This window comes from Homo sapiens, chromosome 10, assembly GCF_000001405.40.
Source record: "Homo sapiens chromosome 10, GRCh38.p14 Primary Assembly".
Taxonomy (NCBI): Eukaryota; Metazoa; Chordata; class Mammalia; order Primates; family Hominidae; genus Homo; species Homo sapiens.
This window is the reverse complement of record NC_000010.11, coordinates 133,612,272-133,633,110: the sequence shown is the minus strand read 5'-3', so window position 1 is coordinate 133,633,110 and position 20,839 is coordinate 133,612,272. Positions and strand designations below refer to the sequence as shown.

The 20,839-nt window shown below is 46.8% G+C and overlaps 1 protein-coding gene across 1 annotated transcript; it reads left to right on the top strand.

The window, feature by feature from the left end:
• The first annotated feature begins 6,315 nt into the window (after nucleotides 1-6,315).
• Nucleotides 6,316-9,216, top strand: FRG2B (FSHD region gene 2 family member B). Its single transcript, NM_001080998.2, has 4 exons — nucleotides 6,316-6,546; nucleotides 6,808-6,882; nucleotides 7,112-7,189; nucleotides 7,507-9,216. The coding sequence occupies exons 1-4, from the start codon at nucleotides 6,369-6,371 to the stop codon at nucleotides 8,010-8,012; spliced, it is 837 nt and encodes a 278-aa protein (NP_001074467.1). The 5' UTR covers nucleotides 6,316-6,368; the 3' UTR covers nucleotides 8,013-9,216.
• The last annotated feature ends 11,623 nt before the right edge of the window (nucleotides 9,217-20,839 follow it).

Below are 20,839 nucleotides of genomic sequence, written 5' to 3'. Positions count from 1 at the left end.
AGACCTGGATGAGGCCTTAGAAGAGGGTGGATCTGGGCAGGGCTGGAACAGAAAGTGGACCCCATGTTTCTGATGTTCATGCTGGTGGAGTATTTCCAGTTCTGTCTTTCCTAAGCCTCCCCAACAGAGACTTGACTCTTGGAGCTTGTGTAATTTTAATCTGTTTTAGCCACTTCCCTGTCAATTTTTATAACACATGATAACAAGAAACTTAAGCGAAACTCTTAGGGTTTTTTAGGACAATTATATGAGAAGCTAAAAACTTATTTTTACCAAGATAAAAGAAATAGAAATAATCACAACAATAACAATAATTCTTCTGTCCATGAATAGCCCTTCAGGTAGTGACATCGGAACTCAAGGAACAGCATAAGGGAAATGGAGCAAATGCAGCCAAGGCCCCCTGTGCAGCTCCCTTCTCCCTTCCGACTACAGGATGCTGAATTCAGCCATTAATCCATTTCCCTTCCGACCACAGGATGCTGAATTCAGCCATTAATCTGTTTGCTCTAGATGAAAAGTTTCTGGACAGTAGAAACCATGAATTCTTCATCTGTTTTTCTGATGGTCATGTGATATAGTTTAGATGTCCCCTCCAAATCTCATATTGAATTTTAATCCCCAATGTGGCAGGTGGGACCTGGGGAGGAGGTGGTTGAATCACTGGGTGAGTCCCTCATGGATCTGTGCCGTCCTTGTGATAGTGAGTACTCGTGAGATCTGGTTGTTTAGAAGTGTGGCCCATCCCTCCCCCATCTTTCTTGTTTCTGCTTCTACCATGTGAGATGCCTGCTTCTCTTTCACCATGATTGTAAGCTTCCCGAGGCCTTCCCAGAAGCAGACGCTGGTGCTATGCTTCCTGTACAGCCTGCAGAACCATGAGCCAATCAAACTCTTTTCTTATAAATTACCCAGTCTCAGGTTTTTTAAATAGCAATGCAAGAATAGCTTAATACCTCATATGAAAAGAAAGCAATTGATATATTTACCAGTTTGAGTACTTACCAGTTTGAGTCTCCAGACCTCTGCCTTGCTTCAACTCAAAGAACAGGAAGGGAGCAACCTCCATCTACTGCTCCTGATTATGGGAGAATCTTCAGTTCATCTTAAAACATTTCAGTCAAAAGCACTGTGTTTTATGTAGAAGAATGAGGGTGTCTGAAAGAATGGGTCTCTTTATTTATTTTTATTTCTGAGACAGGGTCTCTTTCCCTGTCATTCTGGCTGGGGTGCAGTGGTTCACTGCAGCTTTGACATTCTGTGCTCCAGCGATTCTCCCACCTCAGCCTCCAAAGTAGCTGGGACCACACGTGCACACTACCACAACCAGATAATATTTGTATTTTTGGCAGAGATGAGGTTTTTCTATGTTGAGCATGCTGGTCTTGAACTCCTGAGCTCAAGTGATCCTCCAGCCTCTGCCTTTCAAAGTGCTGGAATTACAGGTGTGAGCCACCACGCCGGGCAGATGGGTCTTAACTGATTTTAATCAGGATACATGAGCATGGAAGACATGCCCTTAATTTTTTTCCTAATACAATATTTGACAGTTATATAACTATGATTTTTTTATTCCTGTGATTCATAAGGATATGATAGTAAAAGGCCTTGAAAGCCTGTAGGAAAAAAGTGCTATATTGTGCTTGAAACCACCTTTTACTCTGAAAGCAAGTGCCATCCAGATACATCTTTTGAGAAGATATTTTCTCCTGCTGCATTTTAGTCAAACAGCTGAGTGTGTCTTGAAGTAGTTTTTTGATTTTTAACAGGACAAGTGTATTTTCTAAGACCCCAAACTCAGGAGTGGCCATGGGGCAAATCACCGCTGCACACATGGAATGCATGCACAGCAAATGCATTTCTCATCCCGAACCAGGGGTTGTTCCCCCTGGGTGCACACAGGAATCACCAGGGAGGCTTTTAAAATTACCTAAACTCAAAAGGCAATAGAAAAGTGAACTCAGAATCCCTGCAGTGGGACCTGAGCCATAGTGCTGTTTAAAGCTCTCTGGGTGACTATGGGGTACAACCAAGCCCCCAAACTGCTGCTTTAAATCAGCCTCTTTGGGTGAACTAGTGGCAAATGGTTTCCTGAAATGAATGGTTTAAATCAGCCTTTTCTGGTGAACTAGTGGCAAATGGTTTCCTGAAATGAATGGTTTAAATCAGCCTCTTCCGGTGAACTAGTGGCAAATGGGTTCCTGAAATAAATGGAAAGATTTGCTGCTGGGTTGTGCTCTTCTGATCTTACCTGCATTACCTACTTTTCCTTGCCGAACTGACCTCTGCTACGTATTTTATTCCTGATTCAATCCAGTTCTACTCATACCAAATGCATAGTATGCACTAGGTGCCCTTGCATTGCTGAACCTCACCGTGGGGAGAGGACTTTGCTGAATAATAATTGCATCCTAAAAAAACTCAAAATACTGGACTCAAATGATCCTCCTGCCTTGGCCTCCCAAGAGCTGAGACTGTAGGCATGAGCCACCGTGCTTGGCCTATACCCTAAAAAATTAAAACTATCTTACTTACTAAATTGATGTAAACATGGGAAGACCTAGAAGGTCACCGAAGTGTTACAACATAAGTAAATACCTTGGAATATTAATATCCATCTGATGATGCCCCGAGAAAACATGTCCCACTTTAAAACAGTACAAAACAGTGCTATTATTCTGAGATATGAAGTTAAAATTTTGTGCAAATAGGTAATATTTAAATTTTTATATATGTATAACATTCATGCAGAAAGACATATACAAAGAAATCATGTAAAGTTCAATGAATTATTACAAAGTGAACACACGTGTGTAACCTAGAAATAGAACCAGCTTCACAGATGTCCTGGTAACCACTTTCTCTCTTTTGCTCCCCCAAAGTCACTAAGATCTTAAGAGCTAACAGTGTAGATCAACTTTGTATTATTATACATGTTTTATTACAGAAAATTTAAAACATACACAAAATAAAAGAAACAGTACAATAGGCCTGTTACCCAGGCTCAACAACAACTAATAACATGCCAATTTTGTGTTATCTATACTTCAACTCATTTCTCACACAGACTTTGTTATTTATTATTATTTTTTGTGGTATAAAATGTGTGCTCATTGAAGGTAAAATCTTGGCTGAGCACAATGGCTTAAGCCTGTGTAATCCCATCACTTTGGAATGACAAGGCAGGAGGATCATTTGAGGTCAGGAGTTTGAGAGCAGCCTGGGCAGCATAGTGAGACCACATCTTTATTAAATTTTTTTTTTAATTAATCAGGCGCGGTGGTGCATGCCTGTAGTTCCAGCTACTTGGGATGTTGACATAGCAGGATCCCTTGATTCTACGAGTTTGAGGCTACAGTGAGTTGTGATTGTGCCACTGCACATCAGCCTGGGTGACAGAGTGAGACTCTGTCTCAAAAAAAAAATAAATAAAGGTTCGACCTTAACTAGCTTTTTACACATAAACACACCCATATAAGCAATCCCTCTTTTAACAATAGAAGTACCAAATTAAAAATCATTAGTGTGAACCCATTTTTAACTCAGACTTTATCTTTTAATAAGTTTCTTTTCTTTTTTTTTTTTTTTTTTTGAGGTAAGATGTGCACTCATTGAAAGGTCTAATCTTGGCTGGGCATGGTGGCTCACATTCGTAACCTCATCACTTTGGAAGCCAGAGCTCAGGAGTTTGAGACCAGCCTAGGCAACATAACAAGGCCTCACTGGGGCAAGAGAGTGAGACCTCATCTCTACAACAATTTTTTAAAAGTTAGTTGGGCATAGTGGTGCACACTTCTAGTCACAGCTATTTGAGAGGCTGACTTGGGAGGATCACTGGAGTCTGGGAGGTCAAGGCTGCAGTGAGCTGTGATTGCACCACTGCACTCCTTCCAGAGGGACAGAGTGAGGCTCTGTCAAAAAAAGGTACAATTTTAACTGTACATGTTTGATACATCAACACATCCATATAAACAATCCCTCTCTTAAAAATAAAAGTACCCAATTTAACAGTTATTAATATTCATATGAATTACCTAGAAACTTTTTGTTTGTTTTGGTTTGGATTTTTATTGAAAGGGGACACCTAGAAATGTCATTTAAAATCTAGATTTTGATAAAAATAAGGCTGAGTTTTTTCTTTTTTTGAGATGGAGTTTTGCTCTGTCGCCCAGCTGGAGTGCAGTGGATTGATCTCGGCTCACCAAAACTTCTGCCTCCCGGGTTCAAGCAATCCTCCTGCCTCCCAACTAGCTGGGATTACAGGCATGAGCCACCACATTCAGCTAATTTTTTTTTTTGTATTTTTAGTGCAGATGGGGCTTCCTTATGTTGGCTAGGCTAGCCTTGAACTCCTGACCTAAGGTGATCCACCCGCCTTGGCCTCGCAAAGTGCTGGGATTACAGGCATAAGCCACCATGCCCAGCCAGTCCTAAGTTTTGCCTGAGAATTTCTCTTTCTAAGAAAGTACATCATATGGCAGTTACAAGGTCTCTTTTGTCTAAAATAAATAGAATTTAATAAATAAAAATTTAAAAAATTTACCTGAGATTAAAGGACAAATAAAAACACATGGGTAATATGTTCTCTGTAGGAATATATTTTAACAATGACATAAATTATTAATAATCACTAAATGTTATAATAATTTATTAACTAAAATTAACAAAATTCCTATTACGATATCTAGGAAAATACTTTCTTAGAGTAAAATATTCTCATATCTTGAGAGAGCATTGGTTAAAAACAGCAAAGATGTGCAAGTCGATGTCTTATCAAGTACTTACTATCACGTAAGTAGCAGACCCCTCTTCACAGCTTTTACAGAGTTATCCAAAACGCAGTCATTTACACAAGAGCAGACAATTTTCCTAGCTTTCTATTGAGTTTATAGGTTAATGTTGTTACAAAATTTATGAAATTACCTGACCAAATTTTATATATTATTTCATAATATATCAAAATTTATTTAGATGTCAAATTTCATATCATAATATTATAATATATAACGATATCATATTATGATAAGTTCCATTTACTTTCAGACAATTTCACTAGGCAGTGTCTGTCTACCACTAATTCTTTTTTCGTTCCACTATTTGCACAGGCAGCACAGCTGGGAAAACACAGACTCACCCAACACAGTCTCTTCCCTGTGTCTTTCTCCTCCTCAAGGAATCAGTTCATCAGTCAATCAAGTCATCTGGGACTGGAGGCTGAGTACTCCTTAACATAGAAGGTCTCGTTCCTGCATGCTTTCCTCAGCAGAGGGGGAGACAAGAAGGTCCTTTTAGGGGACACTTGCTTGGACATAGACTAGGCTAGTTGGAGGGCTCTGACCAGCAGAGACAGACTCCGCCGCAGTAGGAAGGGATGAGGCAGCTGTTCTGAACCTGGAGCTCCACCACACCTTGTCCCGTCTCACTGAGGCAGTTTTGAGAGGCTGCCCTGGAATACGTCTTGCTGGTGGATGTTGAGAAACAATGTGGGCTTTGACGGGATTCAGGTGGTGTCCGCAGTGTGAAGACAGGAGCTGATGTTCAGAATCTAGGCTGTTTGTCTTGTGATCAGTTGGGTTACCTGTTTGAGACCAAGTCCATTTTCACTAGGGAGGGCTGAATAAAGCCCACAGAACACAATGGCGCTCCCAGGATGACTGAGGAAGGGTGAGAATGGGGGAAAGTTTTTCCACCGAGACTTTTTGCTACCTCAGGAATCAGGGGCTAATTAGGTTAGCACTGACTCAACCTAATCAATTCAATTTTATTGCATTTGATCTAATTATCTTCCCCATTTTTAAGGTAGGAAGGGCCATTTCATTTGGTATTTATTTTTTCTCTGCATTTTTATTTCATCATATATGTGTGGATCTAATACAATCAACCATAATTTGACATTTGTTGTTTCCAAGCATTTAAGAAATTATAATATCTATGCATACAATGTTAACACTATGTATAATAAATTCTCTTTCTGTGCAAAATATATAACATATGACAATATAGGCATGTTTAATTGTGCATCTTGAAAGGTGAACAGGATCATAAATCCTTCCAGGTAGGAACTGGGACAGAAATAGGAAGAAATGCTTCCCCGATTTTCCGGTCCCTGTGCTCCCGGTTCTTTGTTTTCTGGACACCATGACAGGATCCTGAAAATGTCTCCCTTTAACTGTGTCTAGGTCCCCAGTAGAACTACAGCAAGAAACTTCTGATTGAGGCTCTAAGAAGCGGCAGGAATGAGAAAACTCTTCAGCCAATAAGAGTAAGCCACGCCCAGCCGAGGGACGTATAAAAGGCAGGTCTAGCAGACTAACCCACACTCTGCCTTTGGACGTGAGAGAGAGCGCACCTTTCACTTGAGCTTCAACATGGGAAAGGGAAATGAAGACCCCGATCTCCACTGCTCCTCCATCCAGTGCTCCACTGACCAGCCCCCTTTCCAACAGATCTCCTTTACAGAAAAGGGCTCAGATGAGAAGAAACCATTCAAAGAAAAAGGCAAGACCGCCTTCTCCCATTCCAGTGAGAAGCACATACAAAGGCAAGGTAAGGCCTTGGGCTGCTCCTATGGAGTCTGGAAGGAGGGTTGGAATCAGGGATACTGAGCTGTGTCTTTAGCAGGGTTTTATTTTGAGATTTGGGGATGGGAAATGGCTTAGTGCCCTCAGGGGACTTGAGAAATGTGTTCACTCGTGACACTGGCAGAAGAGCTTCACATGAAAGACTGATCCGCAAAAATGCATCAGAGATAGACTGTGGGACTCTGCCTAGGGAGAGGTGAGTCACCTAAACCTTCTCTTGCAGCAGGATCGGAGCCCAATCCAAACAAGGAGAATTCTGAGGAAACCAAGCTCAAGGCCGGGAACAGCACTGCTGGATCAGGTAAGATTTGACTCTTTCAAGGTGAGAAGGGACAGGGAAGCAACACAGGCTCCCCTGGCAAGGAAACTGGGAGCTCCTTGGCAGCCAGGGCCGTACAGATCCTGGACACTGGAGAACAGAAGAGAGCTGGGGTTTGGTGGTAACCTCAGCTCCTGTGTGTCCAGGATGGACTAGGAATTTCAGGGTGTTCAGTTGGAGGCACTTTCTCAAACTCTCATTGTGTTCACAGAACCAGAGTCCAGCTCATATCGGGAAAACTGCAGGAAAAGAAAAATGAGTTCCAAGGACAGCTGCCAAGACACAGCAGGTAGAATCTTGGTGTTTGTTGTTGTTGGTGGTGGTTTTTTTGTTTTTGGTTTGCCCCAAAAGGCAAATAATCAGGAAACTTTTATACGAGGCTTGAGCGGAAAGGGAGTTACTTATTGACGAGTAAATTTTTGAGATCTTAGCACTCTGAGAATATTTGGGGACTCACAAGGGGTTCAGCCTCACTTCATTCCAGTGCTGAGATGGTCAGGAAGGAGTGGGAGAGACAAGTGGGGTTCACCTGGGTGTACAGGGGGTTCTGGAAATCAGGGTCTGTGGGGACTGCTCTGGTGAGTCTCTCACATGCTTTCTTTGCAGGGAACTGTCCAGAAAAGGAGTGCAGCTTGTCATTGAATAAAAAATCAAGATCCTCCACTCCTGTGCACAACAGTGAAATCCAGGAGACCTGTGATGCCCACCATAGGGGACGTTCCAGGGCTTGCACTGGGCGCAGCAAGCGGCATAGGTCTCGGGCCCTAGGAGTCCAAACACCGTCAATTCGAAAAAGCTTGGTGACCTCTGTGCGAGCTATGTCAGAGGCTGTTTATCAAGACCTAGCCCAGGTGTGGGCACAGCAGATCCATTCTCCACTTACCTGTGAGCAGCTGACACTGCTCACTCGGCTCCGGGGGCCTCTGTGTGCCCAGGTGCAGACCTTGTATTCCATGGCCACCCAGGCAGCTTATGTCTTCCCTGCTGAGAGCTGGCTTGTCCCAGCCACACTGCCAGGTCCTGGGGAATCAGCCCTGGATAGAGAAGCCCATCCCTTCCCTGGGCAGGAGATAACTGAGACTGTCAGTGGATCAGATGAGGCTAAGCTGTGAGCACCCTGACCCTATTCAGCAGAGATGCAGCTCTGGGAATGAGAACAAGGATCTGCTTCTTCTCAGATTCTTCCAGATGACCAGCAGTGACAATTTTAGACACACTGTGTTAATAAATGACAGAACCTGAAGAAGTCATAGGAAAGAAACTTGAGCGGTATACTCAGAATGGTGAGAGCCCTGAATTTTGCAGACCGCTAAGACTATAGACAAATTTTATATTTCATGTTAGACATTTGATGCCTTTTGGATGTCTGATGACAGTCATGCATTTCTATATAATCAGAAAAACATTAGAATGTAATCGTGAATTTGCATATTTTAGATTGTAGAAAAGTAAATATAAAATTATGTGCTCCTTTTTTGTTTTTTTTTTTGAGACAGTCTTGCTATGTTACCCAGGCTGGAGTGCAGTGGCACAATCTTAGCTCACTGCAACCTCTGCTTCCTGGGTTCAAACAATTCTCATGCCTCAGCCTCCCAAGCAGCTGGGACTACAGGCATGTACTGCTATGCCTGGCTAATTTTTTTTTTCCTGTATTGTTAGTAGAGACAGAGTTTTGTCACTTTGGCCAGGTTGGCCTCGAACTCAGGTGATCTGCCAGCCTCCGCCTCCCAACGTGCTGGGATTACAGGCATGAGCCGCCTTACCAAGAAATTGCTTCTCTTTTAATCCAGAAAAGGTTGTAGGCTCTCACTCTTCCAGCCTGAACCCATGGAGTACTAATATCCACAAACCATTAATAGCACTCCCTGTGGGAAAATGTCTATATATTTTGTTTGATATAATTATAGTAAAATTACTATGCAAGCTGTTTACTTTTAATATTTCTACATAAAATTTAAGTCAAGATATAGTAAATGGTAAATGATTGTACTTATTTATTGACCTGCCTCATGTTTCATTTCATTTTAAACATCCTAAATTTATATTTTATTATATTTTATACATTTCAATTGATTGTACTATATTGCAGGATATGGAGATTTCATCACGTACTACAATACAGTGTATTTTGTTATATTTGACGTATATTCTACTTGTATTTTGTACTGAGATCATACACTATTTCATTATCTAAGTGTATTAATTGTTTGGTTGCTTTATAATTTTCATTTTATGTAATGAAATAAACAATGTTGTTTGGAATTTTAAATTTCTTTCATATGGAATTTGTATTTAATAAAAATGTGAAAAAGAGAATGTCTTATTGTCACTTCCGTGTCATCCTATCCCTGACCTCCCCACAGCCCACAGCTCTTGTCATAGTGCGGGAATAGTGTTCTATCACTACAGGAAATGGGGCCAATTCAATGGTAATATACAGATATGAATTGGAGATACAGAGATTTTATTCTCGAGCACTGCAGTATAAAAGAATCACAGTAACGCGAGTCACACAATTTTTGGGTTGACCCTGCTTATGAGTTATGCTTACACTCTGCTGTAGAATAACGCTGAAATAAATCATGTCTATTAAACAAATGCACATACATAAATAATGTGTCTAAATAACAATGTACATAATGAAAGTGAATTTTATTGCTAAAAAAATGTTAACACACAGATACACACAATGGGATCATATAATGTTGAAAAATAGAGATGGGGAGAGGAACAGAGACAGAGAGAAAGGGAGGAATGGAGCGAGAAAAGGACGGATGGATAGAGGGACATTGGAAAGGAGAAAGTGGGGAGCGGGGAGGGAGGGAGGGAGGGAGGGAAAGACAGAGGGAGAAAGGGAGCAAGAGACAGAGAGGAAAGCAGAGAGGAAAGCAGAGAGGAAAGCGGTCTTCCGCCTCCAGGGCCAGCGGGACCTCGCACTCCGGGAAAACGTGGGGTGCCCGGTGCAGGCCGAGAGCTCGGCCCACAGCCGCGTCTGCTTGCGGGGCGCCCACCAGCTCACCAGCCCTCCGGATCGCCGGCCCGGGTCACTTCATCCCGGAGCAATTCGGACGAATTCCGCCTCCCAAGGAATGAGAGCAATGAGCCGAGACGCGGGTGATTGTCCGTTTTCCATCCACGTGGTTCACAGACGACACGGCCCCGCGTTGAGCAACAGAGCGCGAGGCGGACAGGCCCGTCCACACGGGAGTCACACTCGGGCCGAGTGAACCGTGATTCCGGGTTCCACGCTCCTTCGCCCTCTGCAAGGGGCCTGTTGCTCGCGTGTCTCCCGCCCCCGAAAGCGCGACCACGTTGGCTGTTTCCCGAGCTCTGCGGGGACACAGAAACCTCCAGCGAAGCGTGGAAAAGCAGCATCGTGACTTCGCTCTCCTTTCCGGTTTCCAGACCGGCCACAGTGGAGACTCCCCTTGTTGCAGGAAACAGGAATCCGTGGTCAGGCCGTGATGCACCCGACGTTTCTTTTCTCTGCAGTTTCGCTCTCGTTTTCTACATGAAAACGAACGAGATCCACACCCCCGCGTGTGTGAGACTATCACGGCAACGGCGACACCCACAGAGGGCCTGGAAAACTCAAGACCGTCACGGAAGCTCAGTTCCACACTCCACCCTTCAGGGTGGTTTCTTTTAAACGAAATCTTCCTTTTTAAAAAAAAGTTGGTTTGGCCGGGCGTGGTGGCTCACGCCTGTAATCCCAGCACCGTGGGAGGCCGAGGCGGGCGGATCACGAGGTCAGGAGATCGCGACCATCCTGGCTAACACAGTGAAACCCTGTCTCTACTAAAAATACAAAAAATTAGCCGGGCGCGGTGGCGGGCGCCTGTGGTCCCAGCTACTCGGGAGGCTGAGGCAGGAGAATGGCGCGAACCCGGGACGCGGAGCTTGCAGTGAGCCGAGATCGCGCCACCGCACTCCAGCCTGGGCGACAGAGCGAGACTCCGGCTCAAAAAAAAAAAAAGTCTCAGTGGACCTTTGCAGTAATTATACTCCATTGTATACATGAAAACAAGGCTTTCTGGAAACGTGTTATTGATCAGAGGCAGCAGAGTGAGAAGCCAGTGTGTCATACTGTCCAACACACACTTCCTGCACAGCCCTGCCGTGCTCACTCATGACTTTCTGACAAACTGCCTTGTCACTAGGAAGCCCTTAATTTTCCTCTGTGCCTCCCTGAAAGAGGGCCTCCCCGTGAGTTAACAGCTGGAGGGGAATGAAAAAATAAGCTTTTTCTTAGCACAAAACCTTTTTTTTAACTTTTATCTTAGGTTCAGGGGTGCATGTAGAGGTTTATCACATAGGTAAACTCATGTCATGGGGGTTTGTTACGGAGATTATTTCATCACCCAGGTACTGAGCCCGGCCCCCAATAGTTCTCTCTTCTGCTCCTCTCCCCCTCCCACCCCCCACCCTCAAGTAGGCCCCAGTGTCTGGTGTTCCCTTCTTTGTGTCCATGTGTTCTCATCATTTAGCTCCCACTTACAGGTGACAATGTGCAGTATTTGCTTTTCTGTTCCTGAGTTAGTTCACTTAGGATAGTGGTCTCCAGGTCTGTCCATGTTTCTGAATAAGATGTGTTCTTCTTTTTTATAGCCGCATAGTATTCCATGGAGCATACGAACTACATTTTCTTGATCCAGTCAGTTATTATGGGCATTTAAGTTGATTCCCTGCTCCTGCAGAAGCCAGACTTCTGTGTATCACCGCATGGCCCCGTGACACAGGAAAATGCACGTCTCTGGGAGAGGATGGCCCTTTCTCATCCTGCATGGTGACAAGTTTCCAAAGTTCACGAGCATTTATTCAGCACCTGCTCTGAGCTATGCCGATGCTGCCACAGGACAGGTGGTGGGGACACAGCCTGCAGTAACAGAGAATGCCCTGCCCTCAAGAAGCTGTGTTCTTCTTAGGGGAGACAGACAACAAGCCAAGTCCTGGAGCCGCCTGCATGGGGAGTGAGCGAGGAAGAAATGTAATGAGGGGCAGGGAGCAGGGGAGAGCTTCACGCCCACCGCCGGGTCCACACTCTTGTGCTGTCCTCCCTTGGAGGGTCTAATTAGGACCATGTAAACTTCCTGGGTAGCTGACATCTATTTGGGTAATGTAGACTCTCTTGAGCCTTTCCAAGTTTTTTATCTTGTGATCATTGGTCAGAAGGCGTCTTTCACAAGTTAACAGGTGGGTTACGGTAGGATCCCCAGAGCTCCGGGCTTCCCCCAGCCCCACTTCATGGCCCCGAAAGAGACTCCACAGGTACCCTTTGAATCACCTGGACTAGATGACTCTTACAGATTCCTTTCCCAGTTGAATAATCCAGGGCCCCTTGAAAAGGTCTTGTTAAGCCAGAATCCCAAAACATACGTTTCATTTCTCTTGGGTTCCAATGCCTAGGGGTGCGATCGCTAGGTTGTATAGAGAAAGTGTATATAACTCTCTAAGAAGCTGCCAAACTGTTCTCAAATTATGCATTTATCAAAACCCACAGTATAAGCTAAAAGAGTGTTTTATTCTATGCAAATTAAGAAATGAATTTTTTAAAACCTACAGGTTTGGCAGTAAATGTGGTTGATGGTTGAGGTTGACCCCCTACCCCTGAATGTTGATTTTATTCTACTAGGGATGCTCAGTAAGGCATCAGGGCATGACATCCCCTGGAGATGAAGCAGTCCCCAGATCTGCAACTGGCCAGCTGGAACCCCGAAAGAGCTGATGGAGTTCATCCCAGTCTGAAGGCTGGGCACTCAAGACCCACAGAGCCTGTGCTTAGGTTCAAGTCCAAAGCCTGGAAAAGACCAAGGTCACAGCTCAAGGCAGCCAGGCAGAGCATGTCCCCAGCAACCCCCAGGACACATCAGTGGAAGCTGGAGGATGCCGGCCGCCTGGGCCTGGAACCTCAGAGCCTGCATTGAGGTTAATTTCACATGTCCGTCTGACGGGCCCACAGAGGACAGACATTTGGCCAAACATTATGCTGGGTATGCAAGAGGGGGCTCTGGGTGAGATTGACATTTGAATTAGTGCAAAGCTTTGGGAAAGCTTTTCAGTCCAAATGGCTGGCCTCAATTAGCATGGATGTGAACAAATCGGCAGACCTCCATGAGGACTGCTATGAACATTGGACCTGGCTCTAATGTGAGTGACAGAACATCTTAGCTGACTTACATGAGAACCACAGGGAATAACTGTACAGGACCCATGAGGACAGCTGTGAACACCTGGGCTGTGCACAATGAAGACAGCTACGAAAAGGTCGGTTGAGCTCAAGGAAAACAGCTCTTAAGCCCTGGGCAGGTCCCCCATGAACAACCAGCCAGAACACCTGGGCTGGCTGCCTTATTGATTGTTATGAACACCTTAGATCACCCAAATGAGAATGGCTGTGAACAACTGGGCCAGACCCAATGTTGACAGCTGTGAAAACCTGAGGGGGCCGAAAGAGGACAGCTATAAACACGGGGATTGGCTTGGATAAAGGTAGCTATAGTATCTTGGCTGGCCCAGTGAGCATGGGGTGAACACACTGGCTGGCCCTCAGGAGGATGGCTGTGATTAAGTGGGCTGTGCCTAGTGAGGACAGCTGTGAAGAACTTGGCTAGAAACAAAGAAGATGGCTATGGACAACTGGGGAGGCTGAGATGAGGGAAGCTGTTAGCAGCGGGGCTGGTCCCAATGAAGACAGCTATGAACACCTGAGACGGGTCAGATGCAAACGGCTGTGAGCACTGAGCTGCACCCACTAAAAAAAATTTAACAACTGGGTTTTCCCCAATGAGGAAGGTTGTGAACACCTGGCCTGCACCCAGAGAGAACAGCTTAGAACACCTGGATTGACCCGATGAGGATGGCTGTGAACACTGGTCTAGGCTGAGAAGGACAAGCGTTAACACCTGAGCTTGCTACTGACTGTGAACGCCTTGGCTGGGCCCCACGAGGAAAACTTTAAATACCTGGGCTGGACACAGTGTGGACAGATGTGAACACCTAACCTGGGTCCTGTGAAGGCAGCTATGAAAACGTAGGCATGGCCCAGTGAGTGCAGCTGTGAACACCTGGCCTGGGTCCAATGAGAACAGTTGAGAACACTTGGGCTAAGCCAGTAAGAACAGCTGTGGCATCGGGGCTGATTGCCACGAAAACAGATGTAAACACCTTGGCTGGTCTCCACTAGCACAGCTGTGAATGGCTAGGCTGGGCCCAATGAAAACAGCCAAGAACACCTGGTGTGGGGTCAACGAAAGCCATTGTGAGCGTTTGGGCTTGCCACAATGAAGATGGCTATAAACACCTGGCTGGGCCCAAGATGAATGGCTGTCAACATCTAAACTCACCCCGACAAAGACGGTGTGAACAGCTGGGCTAATCCCACTGAGGACCACTATTAACGCCTGGGCTGGGCCCAAGCGGGGGCGACTTCAGCTGGACCTGGAAAGGATGGCTGTGAACACCTTGGCTTCTGACGAAGATGGCTATGAACCCCTGGCCTGGGTATGAACACCTTTGCTTCTGACAAAGATGGCTATGAACCCCTGGCCTGGGCCCAATGAGGAAAGCTGTGAACACCCGCACTGGCCCCAGTGAGGGAAGCTGGGAAAACCTGGGCCGGGTCCAGTAAAAGCAGCAGTGAACACCCAGGCTGGCCACAGTGAACGCCCAGGCTGGCCACAGTGAGCGCCCAGGCTGGCCACAGTGAGCGCCCGGGCTGGCCACAGGACAGCTTTGAACACGGACACTGACCATCATCATGAGGACGGCTGTGGATGCCTGGGCTGGCCCAGATGAGGAGCACTATTAACTCCTGAGCTCGCACCCAGTTAGAACAGCCGTGAATACCTGGTCATGCCCACGTAATGACAGCAATGAACAACTGAGCTCAGCCAATGGGAACGGCCGTGAACACCTGTGCTGAGACAAATAAGGATAGTTGGGAACACCTGAGCTGGCCCCAGTGAGGATGACTATGGATACCTGAGCTGTGGGCAATGGGGATGGCTATGTATACCATGGTTCAGCCAAATGACAGCTTTGAAAAATGTGGCTGGCACCAGCGAGTACGGCTGTGAAAGCATAGGCTGCTCCCAGTAAAGGCAGCTTTGCATACCTGGGCTGGGCCCAGTGAGATTGGATGTGAACATCTGGCCTACTGCTGCAAACACCTGTTCTGGGACAAATGAGGATGCCTATGAATACCCGGGCTGGGCCCTAGGAGAACAGCTCGGATTAACTGTGCTGGGCCCAAAACATATGGCTACGAACACCTGGGCTGACCCCAGTGTGGACAGCTATAAAGACCTGGGCTGGGCTCAGGAGGACAGCTGTGCCATTTTGGCTGCATCCAATGAGGACAGCTGTGGATATCTGCACCTGGCCCCATTAAAACAGCTGTGAACACCTAGCCTATCCCCATTGAGGACACAGGTTAACACCTGGCCTGGGACCATGGGAACTGCTGAGAACACCTGGATTAAGTCCAATGAGGAAAGCTTTGAACACCTGGGCTAGGCCCACTGAGGACAGCTGTGGACACATGGGCTGGCCCCAGTGAGGATGGCTGTCAGTACCTGGGATGGCCTCTTGAGGGTGGTTGGCCCCAATTAGCATGGGTATAAACAGATTTGCTGGCCTCGATGAGGACTGCTATGGACATCTGAGCTCGCTGTCATGCGGATGACAGAGAACTCCTTGACTGGCTTAGATGAGGACGACTGTGAAAACCTGTGCAGGCCTGGATGAAGACAGCTGTGAACGCCTGGGCTGGGCACAATGAAGACAGCTATGAACAGGTGGTCTGGGGCCAATAAAAATGGCTCTTAATCCCTAAGCTTGATGCCATCAAGGAAATGGGTGAACACCTGGGCTGCTCTGATATTGACTGCTATGAAAAACAGCTCATATGAATGAGGACGGCTGTGAACCCCTGGCCTGACCTTGATGAGGACGGCTGTGAACATCTGGCCTGGGCCCAGTGAGGACAGCTATGAAGAGCTAGGCAGGGCCCATTGAGCTCAGCATTGAACACCTGGATTGGCTTAATGAGGATGTCTGTGAACACTGGTCTGGGCCCAGTGAGGACAAGTATTAACACCTGGGCTAGCTACCAATTGGGACAGCTGTGAATGCCTTGGCTAAGCCCTAAGAGGAGAGCTTGGAGTATTTGGGCTAGGCCCAAAGTAAACAGCTGTGAAAACCTTAGCTGAGCCTAGTGAGGACAGCTATGAAAACCTAGGCTGGGCCAGTGAGGACAGCTGTGAACACCTGGCCTGGGTCCAAAGAGAACAGCTGAGAACACTTGGGGTGAGCCAATAAGGACAGCTGTGTCACCACGGCTGAGTGCAATGAAGACTGCTGAAAACATGTTGGCTGCCTCCATGAGCACAGCTAACAATGTCTAGGCTGGGCCCAATGAAGACATCAGTGAACAGCTAGCCTGGGGCCAATGAAGGCCCCTTTGAAAGTCTGGGCTTGCCCTCGTGAGGACGGCTATGAACAAACACCTCACTGACCCCAGTATGGATGGCTCTTGACAGACACCTGGACTCACCCCAATGAAGACCGCTGGCAACAACTGGGCTAATCCCACTGAGGATGATTAACACCTGGGCTGGGCCCCCCACCCCTGCCCCGGGGACGACTTCAGCTGGACACAAATGAGGATGTCGGTGAAAACTTGGGTGTTCTCAGAAGACGACAGCTATGAACACATGGCCTGGGCCCAGTGAAAACTGCTGCTAGGCTGGGCCCAGGAGGACAGCTTTGAACAGATGGACTGATCATGACAAGAATAGCTGTGAATGCTTGGGCTGGCCCAAATAAAAAGGGCTATTAACTTCTGGGCTGGTCCCCAATTAGGACATGAGAGAAAACCTGGACTTCCCCAAGTAACGACTGCAACGAACAACTGGGCTCAGTCCAATGAGGATAGCTGTGAACACTTGTGCTCTCCTCAATGCGGATGACTGTGTACAATGGGGCTTGGCCAACGACAGCTTTGACAAATTTGGTAGTCACCAGTGAAGAAAGGTGTGAAAGCATGAGCTATTCCCAGTAATTAAAGCATTGCATACCTGGGCTGGGCCCAGTGAGACTGAATGTGAACATCTGGCCTGGGGTCAAGGAGGATAGCTGTGAACACCTGTGCTGGGACCAATGAGGATGGCTGTGAATACCTGTGCCGGGACCAATGAGGATGGCTGTGAACACCTGGGCTGGGGCCAATGAGGATGGCTGTGAACACCTGGGCTGGGGCCAAGGGGACAGCCTGGAATAACTGGGATGGGCCCAGAATGTATGGCCATCAACACCTGGGCCGACCCCAATGTAGATAGCTAGAAACACCTGGTGTGCGCTCAGGAGGACCTTTCTGTTCGTTTTGGCTGAGCCAAATGAGGACAGCCATGAACATCTGCACCGGCCTAATTAAGACAACAGTGAACAGATGGGCTGTCCCTGTGGGGGACATCTGGGAAGCCCTGGCCTGGGACCATGGAAACTGCTGGAACCAACGGGAAGAAGTCCTGTGAGAAAAGCCATGAACACCAGGGCTAGGCCCAATGGGGACAGGTGTGGACACCTGGGCTGGGTCCAGTGTGGATGGCTGTCATTACCTGGGATGGCCTCTATGAGGGTGGCTGGAACCAATTAGCACACGTGTGAACAAACTAGCCGGCCTCGATGAGGACAGTTGTGGACATCTGGGCTGGCTGTCACGTGGATGACAGAGAACTCCTTGGCTGGCTTAGATGAGGACCACTGTGAACACCGGCGCAGGCCTGGATGAAAACAGCTGGGAAGCCCTGGGCTGGACATAATGAAGACGGCCATGCACAAGTGGCCTGGGGCCAATGAAAACGGCTCTTACCCTGGGCTTTGTGTCATTGAGAGGAAGCGTGAATTCCTGGGCTTGCCTTGATATTGATAGCTATAAAAAACTGTTGCTATAAAGAGCTAAGCTCATACAAACAAGGGAGGCTGTGAACACCTGGGCTGACCTGGATGGGGATGGCTGTGAACACCTAGCCTGGGCCCAGTGAGGACAAGTACTAACACCTGGGCTAGCAGCCAATGAGGACAGCTGTGAACGACTTGGCTGGGCCCTATAAGGACAGCTTGGAGTGTTTGGGCTCAGCCCAAAGAAAACAGCTGTGAACCCCTGAGCTGGGCCAAGTGAGGCCAGCTATGAAAACCTGGGCTGGGCCAGTGAGGACAGCTGTGAACACCTGGCCTGGGTCCAAAGAGAACAGATGAGAACACTTGGGCTAAACCAATAATGACAGCTGTGGCACCAGGGATGACTGCCATGAAGAAAGCTGTAAACACTTTGGCTGGTCACCATGAGCACAGCTGTGAATGTCTAGGCTGGGCCCAATGAAGACAGCCAAAAACACCTGCCCTGGTTTCAGTGAGAGCCACTGTGAGCGCTTGGGCCTGCCCCCATGAGGATGCCTACGAACAGCTGGCGGGGCCCAAGATCAATGGCTCTAAACACCTAAACTCACCCCGAGAAAGATGCTGTGAACAACTGGGCTAATCCCACTGAGGATGACTATTAACACCTGGGCTGGGCCCAAGTGAGGGCAACTTCAGCTGGACATGGAAAGGACGGCTGTGAACACCTTGGCTTTCTCTGATGAAGATGGCTATGAACCCATGGCCTGGGCCCAATGAAGAAAGCTGTGAACACCTGTGCTGGTCCCAGTGAGGGAAGCTGGGAAAACCTGGACTGGGCCCAGTAGAAGCAGCAGTGAACCACCACGCTGGCCTCAGGAGGACAGCTTGGAACACTGAAAATGATCATGATGAGGATGGCCGTGAATGCCTGGAAAGAAAGCTACCCGAAATCATTGCACCTCATTTTTATAAAGGGAGTACTATTTCATCTGTTAACAGCAAAAATTGGCAGAATCATCATGCTCTGGCTTTTATGAAGCTGATCCCCATGATGAGAAAAATCCTATGAAGCTGAAATCAGAGATAACTGTTTAAAAAGCTAACTCCAATGGTTCACATTAATGAGCTCTTGTAAAGCCCTTTTGGATACAGCATTCCGTCTGATGTCTTTCAAGGGAAAAAAAGGGGGGGCTCTGGGCAGAAAGAGACAGAAGAAAGTGGAAGTCCATTCCTGGGGCTCACGTGCCGGCTGTGGCTTATCTCTGGCTAGGGCACTGCATAGCCAACCCAGCTTGTGCTTCCTTTCAGACCCCAGCTCCCCGCCAGGCTGGCTCCTTCTCTGGAAGCCTCCCTGCTTTGGGAATGATACTTCATTGATTCATTTGTTTGCAATTTTCCAGATGACATCATACTCAATTTTTTTTTTTTGCCTTTCTCTCCTCCCTCTGTTCACCTCTCGCCTCTTAAAATTCCCATTTGTCCCACTTCCCTGTCCTTTAGAAAAGTAGTAACACCTCCCGGTTACCATCCTCTGCAGTCCACACTAGCTGCCTGCTGACTCCCTCTCCGTCATCATTAATAAAGGTGACACTGCAGCTTGGCATGAATGCAGGTCCTCCCCGACATGCCCTACCCTCCCATCTCTTGGAGAGTATAGTTCCCTGACTGCAAAACCCCTGCCTTTGAAGGTTTCTTCCTGCATCCAGCTCCCTTATCTATATTCTGATCCACATTCAATTAAAGAAAAATCAAGTAACACAGTGAAAAATGCCATTCAGAGAGCTGGCCTGGTGGACCCCAGATATCAGATCAACTTATTAAAGCCCCATATCTAACAATGCCATCTAGAAAATAAAAGATGTCACAGTTGTCTGGACTGATTTGTTCTTCAAAATCTCCCCTGACTCTGTCACCCTGGCAGGGCCAGAGAAATTCCAGCAAAAGTCTAATCAAAGTTAAAGCTTAGAGTTAGAGAGCTGATGAGGAGGATGCTTCTTAGGAACTATCCTGCAAGCCAGCCGCCCTGCAGCACAGATGGGGAAACCATGGACCAGAGAGGTTGGGTGGTTTCCCCATAGTCACATTACAACCCAGTCACATGATCACAGTGTTGAGTTAACTCTATCACCCTCCACCACCTTCAAACAGCAGTCCCCTGAACCTCCAAGTTTCCCACAAAGTGATTGTTCTTTCCCAGCCTTATTTCGCCAGGGGGCTGTGCAGGGTCCCAGCCCTGGCCTGGGACCATGGAAACTGCTGGAACCAACGGGGAGAAGTCCTGTGAGGAAAGCCACAATTGGGGTCAAGCTCTAATTCTTTTGGCCATTTCTCATGAGATTACAAAGTGTTGTTAGCTTTGGGGTCTTTTCTGATAAGTAAAGAGAATTCTAGGAAGGTTTTCTCTCCTTAAAGCTTCAGACGTGTGCATCCACCATCTAACTTCCTCCTGGACATTTCCACCCCCCATGGGCAGCTCATATTAACATGTCAACATGATCCTTCCCCTCTCAGTCCTTTCTTCCTCATTCCCCTGTGCTCCTTCTCAGAACCAGCCACTTTGGCCAGGGCAGTAGTCCAGCCATAGTCCTTTGTTCCACCCTTTCTTTTGCTCGTCCCACATTCAATAAATCACCAAGCCCTGATTTCCTAGTGATTTTTATTCTTTTGTGAGATTTTATCATGGTGGTTAAGATCCTTTCACTTCTAGATGTAGGACTCCCTTAAGCATTTCTTGTAGGGCTGAGCTAGTATGATGATCAAGGTTTGCTTGTCTAGAAAAGACTATTTCTCCTTCATTTCTGAAGGACAGATTTGCTGGCTATAATATTCTTGCTGGCCAGGTTTTTTTCCTTCAGCACTTTGAACATATCATGCCATTCTCTCCCGGACTGCAAAGTTTCTGATGAAAAATCTACTGTTAGTCTTATTGACATTCCTTTATATATTACTCAATACTTTTGCTGTTTCTAGAAGTTTCTATTTCTCTTTGACTTCTGACAATGTGACTATAATGTACCTTGGAGAGGACCTTTTTGTATTG